Source organism: Homo sapiens, chromosome 5, assembly GCF_000001405.40.
Source record: "Homo sapiens chromosome 5, GRCh38.p14 Primary Assembly".
In the NCBI taxonomy this organism is placed as follows: Eukaryota; Metazoa; Chordata; class Mammalia; order Primates; family Hominidae; genus Homo; species Homo sapiens.
Genome location: NC_000005.10, coordinates 103927253 through 103946645, shown reverse-complemented (window position 1 = coordinate 103946645; position 19393 = coordinate 103927253). Strand labels below are relative to the sequence as shown.

Here is a 19393-nt window from a genome sequence, read left to right as displayed (position 1 = left end):
AGTTTCTACTTTTACATTATTTTGCTCAAAATTGTTTTTGTATGCTATTTTAAATAGTGTAATAGAATTTGTAGTTTTCTCTTTTTGGACTTTTTGTTCTAATTAATATGAATCATTTGGTATATTTGAACAGTTTCAAAATGCAATGTTCACAGGTAATGTTTATTAAACAGGTTGGATTAATATTTCCTTAAACGTATTCAACCAAATTTCCTCCTTAAACCATACATTACTTTTAAAGGATCCAAGGTGGCCGGGCGTGGTGGCTCATGTCTGTAATCTCAGCACTTTGGGAGGCCGAGGCAGGCGGATCACGAGATCAGGAGATCGAGACCATCCTGGCTAACCGGTGAAACCCCGTCTAAACTGAAAATAGAAAAAATTAGCTGGGCATAGTGGTGGGCCCCTGTAGTCCCAGCTACTAGGGAGGCTGAGGCAGGAGAATGGCGTGAACCCAGGAGGCGGAGCTTGCAGCGAGCCGAGATTGGGCCACTGCATTCCAGCCTGGCGACAGAGTGAGAATCCGTCTCAAATAAATAAATAAATACAAGGATCCAAGGCATATATGATTGAATTAATCAAATCCGTAAGTCACAATACATTAGTGTCATCAGTCCATGAATGCCCTTCTTTTCTTTTATTTTACTTACTTTTAAATAATATAATGAACATATGACAACTCAGCATGTGACACGAGAATTAAATGATCACCTTTAACTTATGTGAGATTTTCTTCTATGTGCTCCTTTACTATTCAACTCCCCTTCCTCCCAATATGTGTGTGTGCACTTGTGTATTTATTTACATACAACTGAACAACATATTTTACATTTTATCTATTTTCAAATTTTATATAAAGGTGATCATACTGCATGTGACCTTCCATCCAATACTATCATAATAAGATTGCCTATGATATTACACATAACTATAATTCATTTATTATGTTTCTTGATGCATATTCTATTGTATAATTGTAATGCAATGTATTTATCATATTCTTGGGATTCATGATGTTTTAAGTTTTGTCTCTTCAAAAAAATACTTTTCTGAACTTTAATTGTACATGCTCCTTGTAGACTTCTGAAAGAGTTACTCTTGGATACTTAGGAAACTATTAGGGTTATAGGGGAAGCAAAAGCTCATTTTTACAAGACAATGCGAAATTGTTTTCCATACTGATTGTTCCAATTTATGCTCCTGCCAGAATAATTGACCTCTGTGATCCACATCATCTGTAAAATTCAGTATAGTCAGATTTAATTTCTGCCTTTTAAATGGGACTGAAATAGTATCTCATAGTTATCTTGAATTATACTTTTATTCTTACTAATGAGTTCAGCACATCTTCATCTCTTTATTGGCCATTTGTATTACTTTTCTTACAAAATACCTGATTATGTCCGAATATTATTTCTATTCTTTTTACTTGTTTTCTGATGGTTCCATAAGAGTCCTCATATATTTTGAAATGAATGCTTTGTTGTCTACGTATGTTGCAACTATTTTATGTCAGTTTGTGTTTTGTCTTTTCATTTTCTCTGAAATGCATTTTCATGACCTAAAGTTCTTAATTTTTATACAGTCAAATTTGTCAATCTTTTATGTATGGTTGCTGCCTTGTTTCTAGTTAATGAAATCCACATTTTCCAACTCTTCTTATGGATAGTCACTTCTTTGCCCCAAAACCTGCCATGCCATATCTGTCATAAAGCAAAGTTCCTCATAAGTATGGGGTCTTTTTTGTGATTATCTATTCTCTTCTATTGGTAATTGCCTATCTCTGAATGACCCCAACACAGTCTTAATATTTTGGTTTTATAAAAGGCTTCTTATGTACTTTTCTTCCCTCTTTTCTTTTTCTGGAGAGGGTTCATGTTTTTGATCCTTTGCACTTCCATGTACATTTTAGGAACAGTTTATTGTTTCAAGAAGCTTGTTTGAGGTAGTTTGTATCTAGATTTAGGAAGTTTGACACATTTAAAATATTAAGTATGTCTATGCATGAACATTAAATATCTCTCAAGTTATATAAATCTTCATGTAAGGGTTATTCTGCATGGTAATTTTTGTGAATACTAACGGTTAGCATTATTTAAAGCTTTTATTAATTTACAGTTATTTTTTAATATTATTGAAACAAAGATCTACATTTTGGGATTTATTGATTATTTTCTCTACCATTTTTTGGTGATAGATTTTTTCTATAAATATAATATAGATATATTTGATGGCTTTGTATAGACACATATAAACATACTTACATTAAAATTATTTATATGACAAAAATAATCAATATACCTCTTTTTAAACTCCTTTGATTTTTAAAATATTGATGATGCTTTAAAGAATCCCACCAAACTCTATCTATGTTTTATTGTTTGCAACATTTTTATTTGTCATGAAGCTATCTTGTTTCAAGAAAAAATAGTAATAATTTTTCAGCTTCATTGAAGATTGTATTCACTTCTATGATATAAGATAAACATTTCTTTTTTGGTTTAATATTATATGCTTTGAATTATTCTTTAAGAAGAATTCACTCTGTTTTCTTATTTTTCTGGTGATAACCTCATATCCTTGACCAGCCTTGTATTTTAACTCTTTCTGATATATTACTGCAAACAGATGTAGTCGGATTGTTATTGAAGATGTATTTTTAGGTTTATATCTAGATTGTTAGCTTTTTGGAAGGAAGAACTGTCCTTTAGATATTTTTGTATCCCCTGAGCAATCTCTACATTGTTCTGAATATTAGAGAAAGCCGTTAGAACTTTGATCTATTAATTCTGAAATAGCATCTTTTATGAATTGTCAATGTAAAAGGTTATAGTTTAAAAATCTTGGGACCTTTTACCTTAGATATTAGTTTGCTATCACAATGCCATTTAACTTGTCTGTCTTACACTGTCTCTAGGTAAAAAAGAAGGAAAATTGCGCTTCTTCATCAGGAAAACAGTCAGAGGTTCCCAGAGTAAAGGCACTTAGTGAAATGCGAGTTAACATTATTATGTCTTCCATAAAACGTAGCACAGGTGCTACCAGTTTTTCACAAAATAAATTTCCAGAGCCCAGACAATACTTACTCATCATAGAGGTCACAGTTTACATTTTTGCTGAGATGGTATTAAAGCGTCACCTGATTCAAATCTAGCTAAGAACCAGAGAAATAAACGAATTGGTTAAGTCTGCTCAAAGTGACAAGCTGCCGGCTGGCAGACAAAGCGTTTAGAAACCAGGCTGAAAATGCTACATCTAATTTTACTTAGGACATAAGAAGAGATCCAGAAGACTGGTCTGTTTACTGGCAATGAAACACATATTCCCACGCTTAATTCTTAGATCATCTGGGAGGCGAAGGGCTTGTAGAGGAAGAAGGCAGCTCATTTCCATGGATGTTTATCAAATTATTATAAAATTGTGTGTGATATAATGTAAAGTTTGACACAGAGAATGTCATATTTTTGTTACAAAAGTAAACGTTGTTATTTAAAATTTCTAACAGGAAAGAAAGCAAATGTTTAGCATTCTAAATTATATGACTGTATGTACATTTTTTTCTAATGACTTTCTATTAGAATATTGAGAAGGTTCAGAGGTATATTTCTTTCCATTGTTCATGTGCTGTGCACGCAAACACATCTCATATATTCTGGTGGTAGAATAAGAATATGCTGCAAATAGAGAGGGCAGTAAAAAGTCTACAAGTTCTAGTGGCTTCACAAGGGCAATCTAAACTCTTCCAGGGAAAGGCCCGTGATATAAAGTCTTGCTATACAGACAATGGTAAATCTTTCCACTTAGCTTTCTATTTTCTTTCGGGCTTTGATTAGCAGGCCATGTAATTATTCATTCATTTTTGGAGTTGTGTGGCCTCTAGTGGTGTGTAGAAATATCATACAATGAATATTACAAACCTGAACATGTCTGTCTCCCAAGATTGAGAATTCTAAAAGATGCTAAGTATTATTTTAACTTAAAACAATTAGGTATACATTACTTTGACGTCGTAGGATGTTCTTATTTGATAGTTTTAGATTTTGGTATCCTGTTTGGTCTAAAGTTGCTGTTATCCCTCTCTGTATATTTGTTAGAAAATTATGTGAAAATGATTATTCTGGTTTTCTTCAAATTGTTTCTTACATTTTTCCCAGAGATCAGTGCCAAAATTTAGAATTTATAAGAAGATATTTTCCTTGAATAATAAAAATTATTTTCAAGAGCATAATCAATTTTTTAAATTTTGCTTAAGAGTTTTCTAGGCATTTTGCCTTTAACCCAAAATTGAGATGTAATTTATAGTGTGTTTTTTAGATTACCTATTTTTTACCGAAAATTCTGAGGCTTCTATTTACAAGCCTTAATACCAGATCTGACAGAATTAATGCGCTGATGGAGAGAGAGCAAAATTAATGTCACTATATTGTGTTTGATATGAAAAATGGCCACTCGCTTCTTGGTCCAGAATCGCTATATGTTGAAAGATCTTAAACGGCAGGGTAATTAGGCTTGTGAATCAATTTACCAATGTGTTCATCAAGAAATATTGAACTAGCTAGTTCATATCTTCAAAACATATTACTGTTTCAACTTCATTCTATATTTTAGTAAATTGGATCTGTTCCCTATTCTGATAAAGAAAAAATAGTATTAATTCTAAGGGGGACTCCAACAAATAGGAAAAATGTACATCTTGCCACAATAGGCAGTTTGGCATTAGTGTCTTTCGACATGTGGCACTAAACGTAGTACAGGGATTACCACTGGGACTGCCAAAATTTTTTTTCTGTGACATTCTTCTTTTCTATTTTAAAACCTTATAGATTCCAAACCTTAAAAAAACACTGAAAGCAGATGGTAGTATGTTCCACAGTTAAAGTATTTTCAAATTTATTACAAAGTATTCGCCTGCTGCTGGAGTTATTCACTAGACTACAGCTTTCAAAGACACTTCTCAATTCATCATGTTTACTAGTACAATTCCCCTCAGGTTTTAATGAAGGAGTTTACGACTAGAGATTAGAAGATAAAGACAATGCTGTATTTAGTGAGAAACGTGAGGTGATGATAAGAAAATATAAACTAGGTGTCTCCTGATGCCCTTTGCAAGAGATTATTCTGCAGCTTTATCACACTTAAACTTTATAGGTAAACTGAAGAAAATGAAGCATAGAAATATGTGAGCTATTTACTAGCAGTTATTGAAAATGGGTTTTTGATTTAGTTGCCAACTGAAAATTCAGAATCAAAATAAAACCCTTTCATGGCCATCAGCAAATACGACTTTCTAAATAAGAATAATGAATATTGCCTACATAAATGATCCCCATGTTAATTCATCCAAGATCTTTTAGAGCCAGAATAGAACTATTTTAATAGAATTCTGATACTCTAACATTAAAAAGTCACTTGTATACACACATAAAACCATATTATATAAAAGCCTGAGAAAAACAGCATTCCCATGCTGAAATTGACAAGGCGAGAGTGAATACTCTTTGAAAGAGCAAAATTCTTGACAGTTGCCAAAATCTCTCAATTCTAATATTACCAAAGTATTTAGTGGTGGGAAAAATTGAACTCTATTTGTTTGGAAAAAGTTTCTGGGTTGAAAGGGAATGATAAGAAGGATATACTCTGAGGAAAGGGTTTATATATTGGGGTATATTTTTATGTCAATAGAGCGAGATGTCATGTTTGAGTTTCAGTTTCATCTTATTCTTTTATCCATCAATATTTCTTGGCCATGTTGCTTCTTTTAATATTGCATTATTGATGTTTTCAAATGTGGATACAAATATAGAAATTAGTATTATGAATTCTCACATATACAACATCCATCTTGAACCATATTAATACCTTGTATTCTTTATTTGTTAAGGTCAAGACACAAAAAGTTTGGTTAAATAGACACAATATGAGACTAGCATCAGAAATTTCTAAGCCTTTTAGGGCAATGCTTAGCAATCACACCCCTCTACCCAAGCGAAATACAACTAGGGCAAACATTCAAATATAGATTTTAGCTTTGTTCACAGCAGGGTGTTAAAGCTGAAAGGCAGGTTAGTTATTAATTTATTAAAACTTAAATACTAAGAATACTAAGAATTTTAGCCTTTATTTGCCTGCTACTATATGCTTTCTCTTATCCTTCTCTTTCCACATTTGAAAAATGTATAAAGACAAGGAAACAACAAGTAGATAGATACACACACACAAGTGCTATGATAAACCAATATTTATACACATGTAAATACTAATATATAGCAAACTGATACACATCAGTTTATAGTTTTTATATATATAAACTATATAGAGTAAACTATTTTTATCTGTGTAAATAAACATGTTTATGTTCATATATTTATATAACAGCGAAATTGTTATATTTATAAAACAATAGAATTATTTATGTATATTTGTATGTTTATATATGTTTATTTACATGGATACAAATATCAGTTTACTATAGCAGTTGGTAAAAGTTTTAAAAATAAAGTATTCTTAATACCAGAAAATTTGTATTTAGGTTCCAAGCACCAAAGCTTGATTTTCTGCCAACCATTATACTACAGAGAAGTCCTCAAACTCACAGCCTTCACTTACAGACCTTTAGAAAAGAAAAGAGGAGGCTAGGCATGGTGGCTCACGCCTGTAATCCCAGCACTTTGGGAGGTCGAGGCGAGTGGATCACGAGGTCAGGAGTTCAAGACCAGCCTGGCCAAGATGGTGAAACCCCGTCTCTACTGAAAATACAAAAAAAATTAGCTGGGCGTGGCGGCGGGTGCCTGTAATCCCAGCTACTCGGCAGGCTGAGGCAGAGAATTGCTTGAACCCGGGAGGCGGAGGTTGCAGTGAGCCAAGATCATGCCACGGCACTCCAGCCTGGGTGACAGAGCCAGACTACGTCTAGTTTTGGTCAATATCTCCTTAGAATTATTTCTAGATTTAGTAATTCAGTGAAATTCAATTAAAATTTAAAGTTACTTGAAATGCTTACGAAGTTGGAGATAATATCTCTAAATCATCTCTAAATATTTAGAGATTTTTATTTATAAATATTACCTTCAACTTACTGTTTCATATAATTAAAAAAATCATTTCCACGCAGGGTAGCATGAGTAGATCTCCCAGTTTTCCTGTGAAAAGCTCACCTATCACATGTTTATCTCAATGTGGAATAATATCAGAAAGAACAAAAGACAAGGTCTTTGTTATGAATGGCCATATCTGCTGCCTCAGTGGGAGAAATTCTAAGATGAACCTCTGTGTTTTGATACTTCTGTATAGGCTTAAAGTAAACTTTTTTTTCCTAAACCTTTCTTGTTTGACAAAGTTCAGCTTGACTTTCTAAATAAGATTAATGCTTATGGTCGACACAGATTATTCTGATGTCAGTCAATGCTCTGTTCTTTCCTCGGTTACTAAAACAATATTGGTACCGGCAGGTATAAAACACACTTTCCAACATAGGCAGACAGTGAGTTCTGTTTGGACTCCGAATTCAAATTAGGTCCCATATTAATTGCAAATGGTAAAAAACATTTGCTTTAGTTTTCTAATTAAGATTAATGATGGTGGTTTGAAGAGCTGATACTAAGACCCTGGCATTAACAGCAATCATTTTTCAACTGTGGCAAACATGCTTTTCTTTTGAAGTCCTTTTTAGTCTATAATAAGAGCTGGCAAGAAGGTGGTGTTGAGAAGTGCAGAAGATGCTGTAGCAGCATTTCTGAAGACTGAACCACAAATATATGGAACACACAAATTCTCAGAAAACAACATTGATTCAAGCAGCACATATCCATCCAAAACCTGCTCTCCAGAAAAAGAGCTCAGTATTATGAAAAGCAAGGGACTCCATGTTCTTAAATGAGATTGTATTAAAAGTTACAAATAACTGGTAAAATTAAGTGTTTCCAATTAAAGTGCTTCTGGATATCTGTTGATTATGAGTGAGATGATTTAGGTAGAGTGTACAGCCAGAGCACAGACACACCATCTGGAATTACTAACAGAGAAACCCATAAAATCATCGATGTATTACATGACTTACTGTCAGGCCTCCATGGAGTAGGTATCATCAGATTCTAAAGCTTCACATTTGGATCACTTTAGAACTTGCTTAAGACAGAACATGTTTCATTCAAAAAAGCCCCTCTTTTTGGATTGTGTTGTGTATACTCTGAAAAAGAATTCCTCAGAGCTAGATGAAAGAAAATCTGGGGAAACTGCAACCAGTACGTTTTTCCTCCCAGCTGCTTTGTCAGTTTTAGACAACCGCAGAAATTATACAGTGGATTTTGTTCCACAATCAGTAACACACGTCATGTCTGAAAATATAGACCTCTTTGGAAAGATGATTGCTTGGTGCCCTTAGGATTTTGAGGTGGTGGTTAGCTTAACTTTTTTTTTTTTTTTTTTTTTTTTTACAATTATAGGAACACAAGAGAGCTTTTGTGTGCCAAGACATACACGTTCTTTAGGCAAACAAAAGTGGAAAATTTTAGCACGTTTCACATTAATAGAAACAGAATTGAATTTGCTTGAGTTCTATTTATGAATGGCATTATTTATACAGCTGTGAATTGTACTGAAACACGACAATGTGAGAAAAATCTACATTCATTGAATTAACCAGCTGACTTCTGGTTTTTTTAAATGGATACTCATAAAATCTAAAACATCAATTTTTTTAAATATTGAAGGCTTTTAGAAAATGTTTCAAACTTGTTTATTATGGTATAACTGCTTTTGAAATGAATTGTATACCTTGACTAATTGTGTACCTTGACTTTCACACTTCAAAGGAAAGATACAATTCATTGTATATCTTAACATATCTTTCCTTTCAAATGTGAAGAACTTTTTCTTCTCTAGCCCTAAATAAGGGAAGAATCATACTCTCCAACTCTAAAGTATCTCCTTAAATGTATTGGCTAGAGAGGACTTATGGGTCATTATCTGAAAATCATTCCCAAACCATGTACAGATTTATCATTCCCATAGCATATCCAGTTTTATTTATCCTTTTGAAATGGAAAACAACATCTTTTCAGAACATTTAAATTATTTTAATTTTGGGGATGCCATTATTAAAATGTTGTGATCAAAATCCAATATTCCTATAATCATTACATACTGGTATGTATACTGAATGGGCTTCTTCCGTTTCTGCCCATGGCAAAAATATGTAAACAAGTGTACTATGCAACAGTTAAGAGCACGCAGATGTGAGCTATCTCCATCACTGTCATCTCTCACCTGTCAAAAAAAAAAAAGTGGATAGGCCAGGCAGAGTGGCTTACCCCAGTAATCCCAGCACTTTGGGAGGTCGAGGCAGGAGGATCACGAGGTCCAGAGATCAAGACCATCTGGCCAACATGGTGAAACCCCGTCTCCACTAAAAATACAAAAATTAGCTGGGTGTGGTGGCGTGCACCTGTAGTCCCAGCTACTTAGGAGGCTGAGACAGGAGAATCACTTGAACCCAGGAGGCAGAGGTTACAGTGAGCCGAGATCACACTACTGCACTCCAGCCTGGCAACAAAGCGAGACTCCATCTCAAAAAAAAAAAAAAAAGTGAGTAGTCTTGAGTTTCTAAATAATACCAACTTTTCTACTCATAAATTATTGACTTTTTACATAGTTCTCTGGCCAAACTCAGTTGACCTACTGACTTGGTTTTCCTTATTGTTTTTTTTCACCCTTATAGGATCCTTCCTGATAGGCATTTGACCTTATCAAGTCTTTTCCAAGACAGGTGGAATTTTCTGTTATATTTTATTTCCTTATCCAAAGTATCCCAAGTTCTGTATTCTATAAACTGATTTTGGTATTAGTTTTCTATTAATGCTGTAACAAATTTCCATAAATTTATTAGCTGAAAGCAACACAAATTTATTATTTTATGTTTACATAAATCACAAGTCCAGCATGGGGTCTTACCATGCTAAAATGAAGGCTTTGGCAGGATTGCAACTTCTTTTGTTCTTGGCTCTAGGGAAAATTTTGTTTTCTAGCCTTTTCCAGCATTTAGATGCCACCCACATTCCTCCATTGTCAAAGCCAAGAATGTCATATCTCTCTGACCCTTTCTTTCATCCTTTATCATATCTCTTTCTCTGACCATAGCCGGAAAAGGTTGTCTGCTCTTAAAGACTCATGTGAATAGATGGGCCCAACGAATAATATAAGATAATCTTCTAGTCTCAAGGTCCTAACTTTAAATTACATCTGCAAAAGTCTTTTGCCAGGTAAGTAACATATTCATAGGCTCTGGACATAAGGGCGTGGACAACTTTGTATAATTCTAAATCTAATTCCCAATAACTTGGTTGTCTAATCCTCAGATCACTACAAAATAGTCGGGGTTCAGTCTTGGTAAAAGAACTGGAAGATTTTTGAGGAGGATCAGTATATACATATATGGCCCTAAAATGCATACTTTTCAAAGGATGAATAAATTAATTGCTCTAATATGTTAATAAAAGAAAATTATTGCTGTACCCCATTATTTTAATTATGTGCTTCCAACCAGCAGCTCAACCAGTTACAGATACACGTCTTGTCCCTATCTCTGCAGTTCCTAGTATAAATGGAAGAGAATGTAATCACCTTTAATGACAAGACCCTACTTCTCACTCAAGTCTCATGTCTGTTTTGCTGCATGCTTTGACATAATCTTTTCATTCTTATATTCTGGTGCTTTCATAGAACTTTAGACCCGCTATTTTTTCTAATCTTTAATGTCTGTTCTCCACAGTTTTGTTCCTCAGTCTGGCTGAGTGATCTTAAACTTAATGTCTGAATAACTGCCCTCTAGGCAGTGTCCGTATGTCATTTCCACTTAAGACTGCACATATAGTTAAAACCTTCAATTCTATTTTTGTCTTTTTAATCATGCAGTCTCCCCTCCAGAAAATAAATGTCATTCTTACATTACCATAATTTGAAGAGGGTTTAAAAAAGAGATTATTTATAAAAGTTGCATCACACTACAAAGAGACTGAGATAACCCAGGCCTAGTAAAAGCAGAATTGTAATCACCCTTGGTAGGCCCAAAGGAACAAAAAAGAAGAAATGATGACCAGAATACAGTCAGCTCTCTGTATCTGCATGTTCCTCATCTGCAGTTTCAACCAACTGTGGATAGAATACATATATATATATATGCATTTTTTTTCTTTGAGATGGAGTCTCGCTTTTGTTGTCCAGGCTGGAGTGCAGTGGTGCAATCTCAGCTCACTGCAACCTCTGCCTCCCAGGTTCAAGCGATTCTCCTGCCTCAGCCTCCTGAGTAGGTGGGACTACAGGTGCATGTCACCATGACTGGCTAGTTTTTCGTATTTTTAGTAGAAACAGGGTTTCATCTTGTTAGCCAGGATGGTCTAGCCCTCCTGCCCTCGTGGTCCGCCCACCTCGGCCTCCCACAGTGCTGGGATTACAGGTGTGAGCCACCACACCAGGCCAGAAAATATTTTTAATAACCCAATAAAAATAACAATGCCACAATAAAAATATGTATATAAAAAGTAGAGTATAACTACTTACATAGCATTTACATCATAATGGGTATTTTAAATAATCTAGAGAAGGCTTAAAGTATATGGGAAGATGTGTGTAGATTATACGCAAATACCATTTTATACAAGGAACTGAAAGTTTTGGTATCTGCAGTGAGGCAGGAGGGGAGTAGTGGTTGTAGAATCAACTTCTTGCGATCACTAATGGGCAACTACATAGAAGGAGCATTAAAATGAGCTAAAATAATCACCTCCATGCTAAGGTAGATAAAATTAATACTGCACCCAGGGATTTGTCAAGATAAATAGAAAGAAGAAATTGAAGATGTTGACAGCAATATCTATCGAGGTCATGTGTTGATGAGGAATTTAGCAGAATAAGAAAACTACAGTGTATCAAATATAGTCTACATCATTAGGTAAAGAGCTGCCAAAAAGAAGAAAAAGGAAAAGACATATAATTCTGCCATCTTTTCTCGAGCTCTGCAAGCGCCACATGTCTGAAAGATGCCACTAAATGCTGTTTGAGGACTCTAGCAAAAGGATGTAATCCTTAAGTAACTCAAAGTGTAACTGCACGGAAAAGGCGCTCAACTTTGCTGACATATAATACACGGATTGAGTTACAGTCATAATGCGACAGTTAAAGTTACAAGGAAGGTAATGAATAATTCAATTAAGTTTAATTTATATCCTCAAGTTACAGGGCTAGGCACTGTTCTAGATATCAAGATTTTTAAGTCCATGCCATTAAGTTTAATGGCAAAGAAAACATATGTTTGCACAGTACTAGAAAGAGTAGAAAATGTAAATTCCCAAAGGAAAGTACAGACAAAATACTATGTGCATTGGGAAGTGGGGTGGTTAGGGAAAGGAATTATCATATTGAGTTGTGGGGATGAGAAGTAATGTCATGAATAAGAAATCTGCAATTTCTGTGCATCCCCAACTCTGGTCATAAGACCTGCTACATAGGTATACATGAAATATAGGCTGAGTGCCTAACTGAATGTGGTAGAGGTTGAGGAAAAATATAAGAAAGCATCCAAATGCATAAATGAGGAGCAGTAACATGCAACAAGGGACCCAAGTAGGGAATTGTGAGTGTGCTTTGGAGAGTAACAAATTATACTTTAACAGCAACATACCTTGTGTAGGGACAAGGATGCCAGGTGTGTGGTTCTGCACTTTATGATGTTCAGCTGTGCTCTTCTAGACAAACCTTGTGCCCTGGTGTGCAAGGTGTGTCCATTCAGAGGAAGGAGACTTTTTCTTCTCACAAGGGAAACCATGTGCTCCAGCCCAGATTTGTGCCTTCAGGTTTATATCCTCCTAGAATTGGCAGATACATCTTTTGGCCTTTTAAAAATTTGTACAGCTGTGCTTGATATGCTAATGGTGGCTTTGTGTAAGAAGGTAATGAGGAATTAATCTTAAAATAAATTAAAGCCACATAGCAGAAGATCCTGAGTATTCCTAGAAGATGTCTTCATAGTTCAGGAAGCAGTGAATGGCTAATCAGAGAGCATTTTTAGCAGAGGAGGCCTTTCTTGAAGCTGTAAATAGGAAGAGATGAGAATGGTGAAAATAGGTAGAGGAGCAGGTCATAGAGTCTTGACTTGGTATAAGAAAACAGTATATTTCTTAGATTAGACCCAGAGATTGTGATAACTCTGTGATGAACAAGTTTGGTCAAATGTGGATCCACATCTGCATTTCACACCATCTACATGTGAAATCAATATTTATGACTAATAGAAAAAATCACTTATCTATATATACATTTTATATAAACAAGACAAAAGTTGTACAATAAAACAAACATATTTATAAGACATTTTCTATAAACCTTCTACTGGCCAGCTTGGCTTTCAGGAGTACAAGGATGAATAAAGCATAGTTCCTGCTATGGAGAATGAGAATAATTAACACACTAATATGCATCTTCTCTTGATGTTTCTGGAAACTATTTTAAATTAAATGTTTCCATATTGATGGCCAGGTGAGAGTATCTTTTACTACATTCTGTTTTGCCTAGTTCACTACTTTTTCACTTTTACACAAGAAAAAACACAGTTCAAAGTTGTGTAACAATAATTTTTATGAGATTTAAAGTTATATCTTGTAAGTAACCAACTTTTAAGTGTATATGCAAACACAAGAAAAACTCATGCCTATGTTACTCCTGATTCATAGGCTGGACTACCTTTAGCCTTTAGTTTACCACATTATTAACAGAAAGACCAAATTAAAGGAGACACATATTTAAGATATATGTCAGTCACTAAATTTTTCAGCAGGTATCACAAGTTATTTATTTTTTATTTGAATATTATTTGTAATCAATTTATTTCCATTTCATTTGGATAACTTCTGCTGGCATCTGCAACAAAGTCAGAATTTGATTGAAGACAATTGGAATAAAGAGACCTCAGGTCAGGATGAGAATAGATTGGGGCATAATTCAAATTTGTGGTAGGAAGGAAAAGTTAGATATTTTTTATTTGTCCCTCCCAGTTTGCTGTTCACACTTTTCCTCTGTTTCCAAGCCAGAAGTCTCATCTGTGTGATCACAGCAGTTGACTTTCTGGCTTCCAGTAGGGTTTAGTCATGGAAAGGGTTTTTATTTTCCAAACTTCCTCTTTGCAGGGTCACCTTGAGTTGGCCATATTCCAATAGTGGCCTTCTCCATTGACTTTTACCTTAAGTACAATCACCTCTCACATCCACCAGAGATTGGTTGCAGAACCTTCCACGGATACCAAAACCTGCAGATGTCAGATCTCCCAGTCAACCCTCTGTATTCAAGAATTCTGCATCTATGGATACAGAACCCATGGATATGGACAGCCACCTGTATATAATACATTGTACAATGTGTATAGTACAAAATATATAGAGAGAGACATATTAGAACATATATAATACATGTATATGAAGTACATTCTCTTTAAATATATATTGTTTGGTGAATGATGAAGTGACCAGTATGAGCAGATGTTGATAAAGATTAAGGGAGAGAAAAAAAATAAGATAATACTAGTGCTAAATATATCAAAAAATATGAATTCCCAACCAACTCATTTTTAGTCTATCCTCAAACTCATTACCAGAGAGTATAATCAGTCCAACTAAGCAATAATACCTCATTAGGAATATACACAATTTTATTACTGGAATCTGTTATCATTCTTTTTTCCAGAAGGGATACTGAAGGGGAAAATAGATATACTAAATTCTCCAATTTCAAATCATTTTTGGCAGTTAGTAGGGAAGAAGCTACAAATAAATCACAGTAACTTAATCCCACCACCTTTTTTTCAATCACCTTCTAGCTTAACTACTCCCACAGTAGCTTGTCCATATTCAATGGACTCAAATGTGCCCCGCTCCCCTCCACCCATTTCTACTTCCCTATACATCAGTCTTTATCCTTGATATTATTTAAATGGCTTATGGAAAAGTCCTACATAGTGACTGGAAATTGGAGAAAATTATTGAACATCTGTGCTTCATTTTCTACTTCCCCATCTGTAAAACTCGATGTCATAATATTTATCATCTAATACCCCACAGAAGTGATATAAGAATTTATTGATGTTGGTAAGGAACACTGAGAAGTAGGGCACAGCAGAAGTATAAAATGCTGTCATTATTTCCTGACAGTCAGGTCAAGCTCTATAAATAATATGGTCAGGCTCTGAGAACCACATTATGGTCTATAATGACTTGCAGGTGGGCCTCACTCGAGAAACTTGGAGCTCTCATTCGAAAGTGTCGTGTCACTGAGGCTGGGTAAATGTCATCATGCACATTTTGTGGTGGTAGCCTTTCAACTCCATAACTCTGAAAATTAAGATTTTACTATCCCAACACCAATGAGAATGTACTGTGGTGAGGATACAAACTCCATTTTATTTTATTTTATTTTATTTTTATTCAACATAGACTTAATGGAGAACAATTATCCTAAAGGTTCATTACTTCATTCAACACATATTTATTGTGCACTTTCTTTGTTCTGTTCCTTTTCTAATGGCAGCATACAAGAAAATCATTTAAACTGAAACCTCTAAAACCACTTAATCAAATCTTACCTATAAAATGGAGTCTGTGGCCGGGCGCGGTGGCTCATGCCTGTAATCCCAGCATTTTGGGAGGCCGAGGCAGGTGGATCACCTGAGGTCAGGAGTTCAAGACCAGCCTGGCCGACATGGTGAAGACCCGTCTCTACTAAAAATACAAAAATTAGCCAGGCATGGTGGTGGGCGCCTGTAGTCCCAGCCACTCAGGAGGCTGAAGCAAGAGAGTTGCTTGAACCCGGGAGGCAGAGGTTGCAGTGAGCCGAGATTGCGCCACTGCACTCCAGCCTGGGCAAAGAGCGAGACTCTGTCTCAAAAAAAAAAAAAAAATTGTTAATAGGGCATCTATTTTAAAGTATATGAGCTAACATGTATAAATACAATTTAAACTTCAAGATGAGAATTACTCACTGTGGAAAATGTTCTTACATGGCATTTAATTTACATTGTGAGTAAAGAAATATTACATTTATAAAATTTGAGTTGCAAGTTTCAAAACAATCAAGTTTGAGTTATTATGTTTACAACATTATTTTGTGTATTTATGGTCCTTTATCCTAATAGTAGATTTCCTTTAACAACTTGGGTTATGAAACAAAAGCTATAAAGTAAAGCAAAGTTTAAAATTTTTCTCAAAAGTACAGAGGAAGTTAATGAATTTATAATGAAATCTGTTAATTGAAATTGATTTCTTTGACTAGTTTTGTAGATTTGAAGGAATAATCCTCATTGCTACACTTAACAACGAGACTACAGAAATGAAAGTTTTCCTTCTCTAGATATTGACACTAATGACTAAATTAAATATGCAAAATTATAGTAAAACAATCACAAAAGTAAAGTTGAAGAAAACCATGAGGAAAGAAAATTTTGGTGACTGATATGAACAAGTTTTATTTTTTATTTATTTTATAAAATGGTCTAATATTGTCAGTTATTGTATTAATGACTGAATATTAGTCATTGGAAAGATTTTTCAAACTGCTAAACAAAACTACCATTAAGTCACAGAAAATGCACAACACAAAACTGTGTTTCAAATGTGTCAGGTATCTTTCAAGGGAATAGATTACAAATCTTGTCTTGAGACTAAATAAATTAAATACCATAGGCCTTCAATATATTCTCAGATGCTTTGGCATGTGGTTATTACATCATCTGCCTTCAAGGTGAAAGCAGAGGCTGAGGAGGAGCTTTGAATCATGTAATTATAGTAGTCATTTGCCACTTCCTGGGTCAGCAAAGTAATGTGAAGTGTCTCCAGCTCTCTAAGTAGATCAAAGGTCACTTGGTGTTTTCATAATTTTAGCTAAAAACGTCCCTGCCACTAGAACCAGAGTTTATACTTTCAGATCCCCTGACAAACAATGGGCTAAAATACGTGAGAACATTTATCAAATTGAGCATCATCCTAGAATGACCCCTTTTAAGGAAGCTTTCTTCAAGGCATTTATAGCAGAGGTCATTGTTAGATTACCTGTGACTCAGAGTATTATATCAATATGGAACTTCTGGAAAATCCTGAAGACTTAGGGGCAAAGGCTCTGTCCTCCATGTGCTCACTAAACAAAGCTACAGTGACCTCTCAGACTACCTCTATACCTTCCATATCCTGCACTATTCTCCCTTGCCTCTTCTTCAGAGAGGGACAGCAATTGTTGCAGGTGCTGGAGAGACTGGTGAGCCAACAATAAAACACCTCACCAGGGAAAAATAGAAAAACAAGTCCCATTGGCTTGCCTATATCAAAGTATTTTTCTCCAGTGCAAGTGTCTGCATTTTACTTGACAGTTTACCCAACAGAACTACATGGCAGGAGTCAAATAGAGAAAGAAAATCTCCTCCTTTCTGCCACATACACATACACACACACACACACACACACACACACACACACACACACACTTTAACTTCTACCACTACCCTATTCTTTCCTTTATTCTCAATCCAGTTTTATCCCCTGGTCTCTTCCTATAGAGAGAAGGAATTAACTGATGAATCACCTCAGAAAAAGGAGATCTTAACGTTGCTTAAAGCTATTTACATTTGCACTTTAAAAGAACGTTCCAAATAACTAAAACTTAACTTTTTCCACAAAGGTTGGAAAAAATATGAATTACTAACAATATCTCAAGCATTGTGAATTTATTCCTTCAAAAAATCACGGAATACTCACTTTGTCTAAATATTGAAAGATACTGGAGGATACAACAGTGAGCTAAAAAGACACATTCATTGCCCTCAGAAAGCTTCTACTCTAAGATGGGATATGGAAATTTATCACAATCCCCCCACTACAAAGGAGACAAGAGCTATGAGAGTTTCTATGAAGCTATCAGACTGAAACAGGGAGAATGTGGAAGACTATCCTAAAATGGGAAGACTGAGCTGAAATCTGAAAAATTAAGAGGTAAATAAATAAAAATGTGTGTAACTCACAGACTTTAAAAAAGCATTTCTGGTGAAGCGTAGAGTAGGGGAGACCTTTGTACATTATGATATCAGAGATCAGATTATTCGCATAGTGTGGCCATGTAGGTTCATCATCCAAACCAAGGCACATTTGAAAATGAAACAGGTTCTTCCTAATAACAACAGGCACAGCTGGGGAAGGTACCAAGTAACTTGGGGACATATAGTTGCCCTCATTATAGACCACCTTGAAGTTTCGTGTTTATCCTAAAGGCAAAGGAGTGCCCCTAAAAAGTTTTAGCAGAAATAAAACAGGTTTGAACTTGCATGATACTCTGGCTGCACTGTGGAGAATGGATAGGAGGTAAAAAACACGACGGCCGTTTATTCTAGGATGAGGGCATTTAAGGCAGTGAGGAATGGTGTTGAGGGAGAAAAACGTAACATGAGTAACTCCTGAGATTCTGTCTTATAACTGGGTAGATAGTAATCACATTTATTAAATAAGAAACCTAAAAGAACCAGCTTTAGGCTAGGTTTAGGCATAGGAGGAGGATGCCCCTTCCAATTTTAGAGTTTAGGATGTCTTTGCGAGAAGAAATCATGTAAAATGAGTTAAAAATAAAGTATTTTGCAGATGAGAAGTCAGAGCAAGAGATAGAAATCAGTGAGTCATTTGCATATCAATGGTAATTGAAGCCATGCTCATGGATACTGCCTAGAGAGAGTTCAAATAGAAGAAGAGAGGAGAAAAAATAATGAAGCCTTAAGGTACTCCAGCTTTTAGAATGGATGAGTATAGGAGAATGCCACTGCAAAAGACTAAAAAACAGTTGCTTATGAGGTATAGGAAAACTAGCACAGGATGATGTTTTGGAAGCAAAGGTAACAGAGTAGCTGAGAGGGGAAACAGCAATGATGAGAACTGACATAGGTCAAGTAAAGTGAAGACTGAAATAATGTTATTTATTTATTTATCAAAATGGGGCTTAAGGGCATGGATTTGGTAAATGAATCCCTCTTACTTCATTTACTGGCTGGGTACCCTAGAGAAAGCCACATAAACTCTCTTCATCAGTTTCCCCATTTATAAAATGAGGATAATGATGCCAACCTACTCAAGGACTATTTTGAGCAGTGCTTATCAAAGTGTGCCCTGTGGACATGTGGGGATCCCAGAGGTATTTTCGGGAGCTTTGTGAAGTCAAAACTACTTCCATAATAATGTTTAGACATTATTTGCCCTTGACTCTCACAAACCAAGGTAGTAACCCTAAAATGTATTATTATCATTGTATTCCTCTCATAATCCATTTGCAGTTAAAAAAAAAGCCATTTTCCTTTAAGGATGTTATTGGTGAATCACTAAATAGT

The 19393-nt window shown here is 35.1% G+C and overlaps 1 long non-coding RNA gene across 4 annotated transcripts in view; it reads right to left on the bottom strand.

Moving 5' to 3' along the window:
* Nucleotides 1–324: 324 nt before the first annotated feature.
* Nucleotides 325–19393, bottom strand: part of LOC105379107 (uncharacterized) — a 339090-nt gene continuing 320021 nt past the window's right edge. For 2 of the 4 annotated variants that reach the window (XR_001742831.2, XR_001742830.2), the window contains one exon: nt 8437–13081. This is a non-coding gene — a long non-coding RNA (uncharacterized LOC105379107). Of the gene's footprint in view, nt 367–8436; nt 13082–14227; nt 14380–15622; nt 15661–19393 lie in introns of those variants that run through there. The other 2 variants (XR_001742832.1, XR_001742833.2) reach the window with 2 other exon arrangements.